The sequence below is a fragment of the Homo sapiens genome, chromosome 14 (assembly GCF_000001405.40).
Source record: "Homo sapiens chromosome 14, GRCh38.p14 Primary Assembly".
Lineage (NCBI taxonomy): Eukaryota > Metazoa > Chordata > Mammalia > Primates > Hominidae > Homo > Homo sapiens.
Genome location: NC_000014.9, coordinates 96,119,614 through 96,127,129, shown reverse-complemented (window position 1 = coordinate 96,127,129; position 7,516 = coordinate 96,119,614). Strand labels below are relative to the sequence as shown.

Below are 7,516 nucleotides of genomic sequence, written 5' to 3'. Positions count from 1 at the left end.
TGGAGCTCTTGGGAAACACAGACTCCTGGGCCCCATCCTGACCTATTACAGAATCAGAATCTCCTGACACAGGCGCAGGTGTTTTGTGCACAAACGTTCCAGCTGAGTGCCGCCTAGAGTTGGGCAAGTTTGGAGATCACCGTGGCACTCCATTTACTTTGGTAAGAAGGATCTAATCAACCCATTCAAATTTGCAGAGGCAACAGTAAACAACTCTGTCTAGCTCTTCCACATAAGCACATTTAGAGACAAAATTTTCAGCTCTAATGGTTTCCACATTTCTTTCCTTGTCACTTCCTCCTTTTGTCAATGTCAATGTATATGTGTGTATTTCCAAGGATGCCATGCCTTGCCCCATGTCCTGTAGCAACCGGGCTGTGCCCACCCCACCCAGGCTGACCGGGTGCTCAGTGAGCACATTCTCCACTGTGCTTCACCCCACCCCATTGTGGAGATCTCAGAAACAGTGGGTTCCCCAGGTGACATTCAACCTCAGATGTGCATTTGTCACGCTCAGTTCTAAATTGGCTTGTTTTGGCAACCACCTGATGTTTCTAAATATGTGTTCTCCACATGTCCTCTTGCCTGAATCTTGAGAAATCTACACAGGAACTGGTAGCCTAGCTACGGAGAGAAGGTTTTTTCCCCTTCCTTTTCCCTTTGAAGCTGCCTGTGGTTGCACCCAAACGCTGCAGATGCAACCATGGATGTGTGCGCTGTATCCTCAGCCAGCTCTGGGTCAAGAGCCTGCTTGGCGTTTTTATGTTTCCCTTCTTATGAAGGATAAGGAAATGTGGGGGCAAATGGAATCTCTGCTGGGGACATTTTCAGCCGCCGATGCCACCAAAAGGAAGTGAATTTCTTTTCTGTTTATATCTCAGGAAATAATCTGTCACATTTGAAATCATTTCAGAAATATCTACTGCTCATAAACTTTCTGTTCCTTCATCCCCTGATCTGTTGATTCTGTAACATTATAGAGGGAAGGAAGAATGGATTAAGCAGCATAAAATACCATAAGTTCCTTAAAATGAGGATCCACATTTTCTTGTAGAAATGAGCTGGAATCAAAGCCCAGCAGCTCATTGTAATTCATTGGCTGTGTGACCTTATAAAAGTTACTTAACTTCTCTGAATCTTGGTTTTTCTTTACATAAAATGGAGATAATAATTGTAGTCAATTGTAAAAATGGTCACAATCTTCCACTCCTCCCCAAATGCTCACCACTGGCAGTGGGCTTTGCAGTTCCTCCTATCAAGAAGTGATGTCCATTTCCCATTCCTTTTTAATTTGCTTTGGTCAATGGAATGATAGGTGCTGGTTCTGAGTCTAGGTTCTAGGAGACGCATTGCACATGTCTGTCTTGGAACTCTGCCCAGTTGCCATGCGAGAAATCTGGCCTGGCTTGCTGGAGGATGAGAGACACGTGGAACTGAAAGGAACCATTCCAAGGAAGGCCATTCTAAATCAGCCAGCCTCCAGTCAACCCAGCACTGGGTACAAAGGCAAAGGTGAACCCAGGTAAGGCTAGAAGTATCTCCTAGCTGAGCCCAATACAAACTGTCTACCTGCCAAATGGTAAGCTATATAAGTGGTTGTTTATTTAAAGTCACTAGTTTTGGAGTAGCTTATTATGCAGGAAATGCTAATATAATGTGCTTGTCTTTCAGTGCTGTTGTGTAAACAAAATTAGGTATCACACATGAAACACCTGAATCCATACATACCGATGAACAGAACTTGTTTGGATGGATTGCTAACCCAGCTGCATATCCATAAATTGCATACTTCCTGTGTGGAAGATGTAAGCATCAGTGTCCATAGCGTATATTGAAAAATAAATGCATTTCCCTATGAAGATATAATGACACCGTAGATAGAATGTTTAAAAGGAACCCATAAAATTTGCCTGTTATCCTACTGCCTCTACCATAAGGTTCAAATATCTTAGTAGGACTGACAAAATCCTTCAAAGTCATATTCCAGCCTCATCTGTCTTTTTAAACTGTTTCTACTCCTTGTTACCTCCATTCATAATAAATGACATCTGAGACATTCATTATGTAAAATTTCCTTTTAGTTTTGGTCCTTCCTATGGTTTGGCTGTATCCCCACCTAAAAAATCTCATCTAGAATTGTATCTCTCATAATCCCCATGTGTTGTGGGAGGGACCAGGTGGAAAGTAATTAAATCACAGGGGCATGTTTTTCCCATGCTGTTCTTGTGTTAATGAGAAAGTCTCACGACATCTGATGGTTTTATAAAGGGCAGTTTCTCTGCACATGCTCTCTTGTCTGCCACCATGTAAGACGTGCCTTTGTTTCTCCTTCCCCTTCGGCCATGATTGTGATGCCTCCCCAGCCATGTGGAACTGTAAGTCCATTAAATCTTTTTCTTGGCCAGGTATGGTGGCTCATGCCTGTAATCCCAGCACTTTGGGAGGCCAAGGCAGGCAGATCACCTGAGGTCAGGAGTTCAAGACCAGCCTGGCCAACACGGTGAAACCCCATCTCTACTAAAAATACAAAAAATTAGCCAGGCGTGGTGACACACCCCTGTAATAGCTACTCAGGAGACTGAGGCACAAGAATCTCTTGAACCTGGGAGGCGGAGGCTGCAGCAAGCCGAGATTGCACCACTGAACTGCAGCCTGGATAACAGCCTGAAACTCCATCTCAAAAACAAAACAAAACAGAATAAAACAAAACCTCTTTTCCTTTATGAATTACCCAGTCTCAGGTATTTCTTCATAGCAGTATGAGAATGGACTAATACAGTCCTTAAAGAAACAAAAAACTCAGAGGTGAAATGTGTTTTTTAATTAACGTTATGAGGTATGATTTACATGTGTATAAATTATAGTGTACAGACTGATGAGCTTAGATAAATGAATTTACCATATAACCACCATCTCAATCAAGATAAAAGCATTTCTGGCACCCCAAACATTTCCCTTGCACACTTTCCCAGTCAATTCCACTCCCATCAACAATCCCAGGCTACCATTGATCTGATTTCCATCACTACAGATGGATTGAGTCTGTTTTAGAACTTCTTAGGAATGCAGCCACATACCCTTTCCTGATTGGCTTCTTTCACTCAGGGTAATGTGTTTTTGAGATTGATCTATGTTGTGTGTATCAGTAATTCATTCCTTTTTATTACTGAGTCTTCCAGTGGAGGGCTATACTACAATTTGTTTATCTATTCACCTGTTGATGGACTTGGGGTTGTTTTCAGTTTCGGGGTTTTATGAATAAAGCTGGTAGAAACATTTTTGTGTGAGCATTTTTTTTTTTGGTGTGTGTGTATGCATGTTTTCATTTTGTGGGGGACTAAATACTTAGAAGTATAAAGGCTGGGTTATATGGTAAGTATATATTTAACTTTGTAAGAACTGCTAAATTGTTTTCCAAACGTCTGTACCATTTTACACTCTTGCCATTAGGGCATGAGTGTTCTATTAGGTTGGTGCAAACTTAATTTTGTTTTTGCCATTAAAAGTAATTTTTGCACCAAGAATAGTAATAGCCTTGCCAGCCCTCGGTATTAACTTTTTAATTTTAGCCACTCTTCTAGGTGTGAAGTGGTATCTCATTGTGGTTTCAATTTGCATTTCCTTGATGACTAATTATGCTGAACAGTTTTTCATGGACTTTTTGGCCATTTGTATATTTTCTTTGGTGAAGTCTCTTTGGTAGTCTTTTGCCATTCCCCTTTTAAATTGGGTTGTTGGTCTTCTTATTACTGCGTTTTGAGGGTTCTTGGTATATTTTGGACACAAACTGTCAGATATATCTTCTTGTTTTCTTACTTTGTTACTGGTGTCTTTTGAAGAAATTTTGAATTTTTATAATTCTAATTCATCATTTTTTTCTTTTATGGTCAGTGCTTTTTGTGTCTTAAATCTTTGCCTACAAGGTCATAAAAACTTTTTCTTCTGTTATTTTCTGGAAGTTTTATAGATTTAGCTTTTAGGCCTATGGTTTATTTCACATAAATGTTGTGTATGCTCTGGGGGTAGAGGCTGAGGTTTGTTTTGTTTCATTTGGATATCTAGGTGTTCCAGTGATGTTGCTTGAAAAGATTATTATTTTCTCATTCAATTACACTGCATCTTTGTTGAAAATCAATTGGACTTATATATGTGTGGTTCTAATTTGGTTCTCTATTGAATTAGCTTCCCGCAACAAATTGCTACAAAGTTGGTGGTTGTAAACAACAGAAACTTATTGTCTCAGTTTTCTGAAGGCCAGAAGCCCCAAATCAAAGTGCTGGGAGGGGCATGCTGTCTCCAAAGGCTCCGGGGGAGAATCTTCCCTTGTTGTTCCAGCTTTTTCCCCAGCCCCTTCTGTGAATCATGTGCTACATCTCATCCTGACCTAGGTCAAAACTCAGGCCTTCTCCCCTGAGGCAGTTTGCACAACCCGGCCAATGCTAATTCAGCCTTGCAGTGCCCTTTTGCTCTGATGTGGAATGACTTGGAACTCAACGAATGTTTATTGCGGTCTGCAATGTTTGGTTGGAGGGATTCAGGATTGAAATACAACAACAAAACATTCTTAAGGCATGTTAATTGTTCCTAATAAGGGAAGGTAACCGTCCCGTGATTAATCTTTCCAAAATGCAACTCTGAAATCTTGGGTGGTCTTCAGAAAACCTACTGCCTCTTAGTGCTTTACAATCCCATCACAACCTACCTGTTCAGGCTTCTTTCCCTTTACGGAGTTCCCCCCGTATCTGAGGTTCTGCTTTCCCTGGTTTTAGTTACCTGGGGCAACAGTGGTCCAAAAATATTAAATGGAAAATTCCAGAAATAAACAATTAAGTTTTAAATTGCATACCCTTCTGAGTAGTGTAATGAAATCTTTTGCCATCCCACTCTGTACTGCCCGGGAAGTGAATCACCCCCTTGTCCAGAGTTTCCACACTATATACTCTACCCACACTATATACTCTGCTAAGTTAGTCACTTACCAGCCATTCCAGCTATCAGATTGACTGTTGCAGTGAGGCAGTGCTTGTTTTCAAGTCGACCTTATTTTACTGAATAATGGCCCCAAAGTACAAGAGCAGTGGTACTGGCATTTTGTTATAAGTGTTCTATTTTATTATTAGTTATTGTTGTTGCCTAATATATACATTATTATCTATCATAGGCATGTATGTGTAGGAAAAAAACCTTGTATACATAGGGTTCCATACCAGCCTCAGTTTCAAGCATCCACTGGGAGGCCTAGAAATATATCCCTCCTGGATAGGGGGCACTACTGTACTCTCTAATCTAGCCACACCTATATCCTCCCTCCATAGTCAATTCCTGCCTTTGCAGCTCTGCTTAGCCCTGTGAAATTTTTGCTTGCAGCTGTAATGGAGGCTGTGGGACATTCAGGTCTGGAGTTTAGCACAGCACTGTGGACTGGGGACTTGGATCTGGGATTTTCAGCACAGAGACGTATATTAATTTTCTAGGGCTGCCATAACAAAGTACCACAGACTAGGTGGCTTAGAGGCATTTATTTGCTCGCCTTTCTGGAGACTGGAAGTCCGTGATCAAGGTGTCAGCAGCGTTGGTTTCCTCTGAGGCCTCTCTCGTTGGCTTACAGACGGCCACCCTCTTGCCATTTTCACATAGTCGTTCCTCTATGCACATGTGTCCCAGTGTCTCTGTGTATCCTAATCTCTCCTTATAATGACATCAGTCAAGCCTGGGCAACATAGAGAGACACCCTCTCTACAAGAAAGAAAAATAAAAACAAAATTTGCCATGCTTTTACTCCTAGTTACTTGGGAGTCCAAGGCAGGAGGATCACTTGAGCCCAGGAGTTTAATCCACTTATGCCTAGTACGCTAAGCTTGTGGGAGTTATTTATATCCTACTGCTCAAGGTCATTACCAAGGTCTGATATTTCACACAAAAAATTTGCAACCTCCGGCATAAATGATAAGGCTGAAGTGAGCGATGATCTCTCCACTGCACTCTAGTCTGGGGGACAGAACGAGATCTTGTCTCTAAAGATAAAAAGATTGGGTTAGACTAGAGCCTCCATTAAAGCCTTCATTTAACTTAATCATCTGTTTAAAGGTCCTATCTTTAAATACAGACACATTTTGAGGTACTAGGGGCTTAGAGTTTCAATATAAATTTGGGAGGAACACAATTCAGTTTATACCCAAGAAGGTATCTAAGTTATGGGAATGGATGATTTTACCGAGAACGATAAAAAAGGGGTTGCAAACTCTATGTAATAGAGATTAATGAGCAAAGGGGGCTGGTAGTAACATAATGGCATCTCGAGTCATATTCTTTTGGCACAGATACACTTTATTTTACTATTATTCTCATTTTTAAAAATGTCAAAACAAAGAAACGTTCTTCCTGATTTTCTTAAAACAAGCTTCCCTTCCAGGATATCCCTTGGTTTCAGATTTTTGATGGTAACCTTGGCACTTAGAACTAGTTCTCCATCCAAAGAAAAACAACACTGCAGATCCCTGGGAGATATGAGTGATGCTCAGCCTCAGCCTGGGGGGCTACAGGAGTGCATGGCAGTGATGACTGACAACCAAGAGTGCACACTGTTATAGGGTGTCAGCCACGAGTCAATGCTGCTGGATTTTCGGTATTTCAAAGGAAGCTGAAAATGCATATTTAAAAATGTACATTATCATGGGCCCCTTTAGAAAATTGTCTCAGCTGTTTAAAAAAAATACTGTGAAGTTGAAACAAAACACATCACCAGACTGTATTTGGAGTGTGAGCCATCCATTTCTAACCGTAGACATAAAGTGAGACATAAAGAAGAGTAACTAGAGGTCTGAGCACTAGACAGAGCTCAGAGGAATCCTGTCTTAAATGAAAGCTGAAATTTTTCTATCTTTTATGAATGAGCTAACAAACATGGCTGGATGATGAAAGTTCCAGTGGAGGATGAAAAGTTAAAGAGGGACCTTATATGGAGTGACCTTAACTCACAAGCTGGGACAACAGTCATTATGTACTCCCGGTCTGATGCAATAGGAAGTATCCAGTACCAGCTATGAGCTTTTTTTTTGCCCAGATCACTCAACCCAAATCTAATCAAGCCTGTAGACCTAATTTCCAGCTTATAGGAAATTAAAAGGTTAGACGAACCCAGTAAAGGACACTATAAGGATATGCTCAATCACATCCACTATGTAGGGAATTCTACAAGGCAAATGGCCAGGTTTTCTTCCAGAGGTAAAAAGGGGAGAGGGACTATTATAGATTTTAAAAAGATTTAAGACACACATCAGCCAGGTGCAAAGCATAGGTCACATGTGGATCATGATTTGAACAGTTATTTGTAAAACACACTTTGAGATGGTTGGAGAAATGTGGACTCTGGCAGACATTAGCAGACATTAATAAATCACTTGTAATTTTATTATATGTGATAACTATTTTGCAGCTATGCATTTTCAAAAGCTCTCTCTGTCAGAGATACAAACTGAAGTATTTTTGGGTGAAATGATAGGACATCTGGGATTGG

The 7,516-nt window shown here is 40.8% G+C and overlaps 1 annotated feature.

Annotated features, from left to right (window-relative positions):
- Positions 591-760: an enhancer, noted in NCBI's record as "active region_8983". NCBI's record gives its function as "activates an Ori minimal core promoter by ATAC-STARR-seq in GM12878 lymphoblastoid cells {active_cell/tissue: GM12878}" and the evidence as "EXISTENCE:reporter gene assay evidence [ECO:0000049][PMID:35858748]".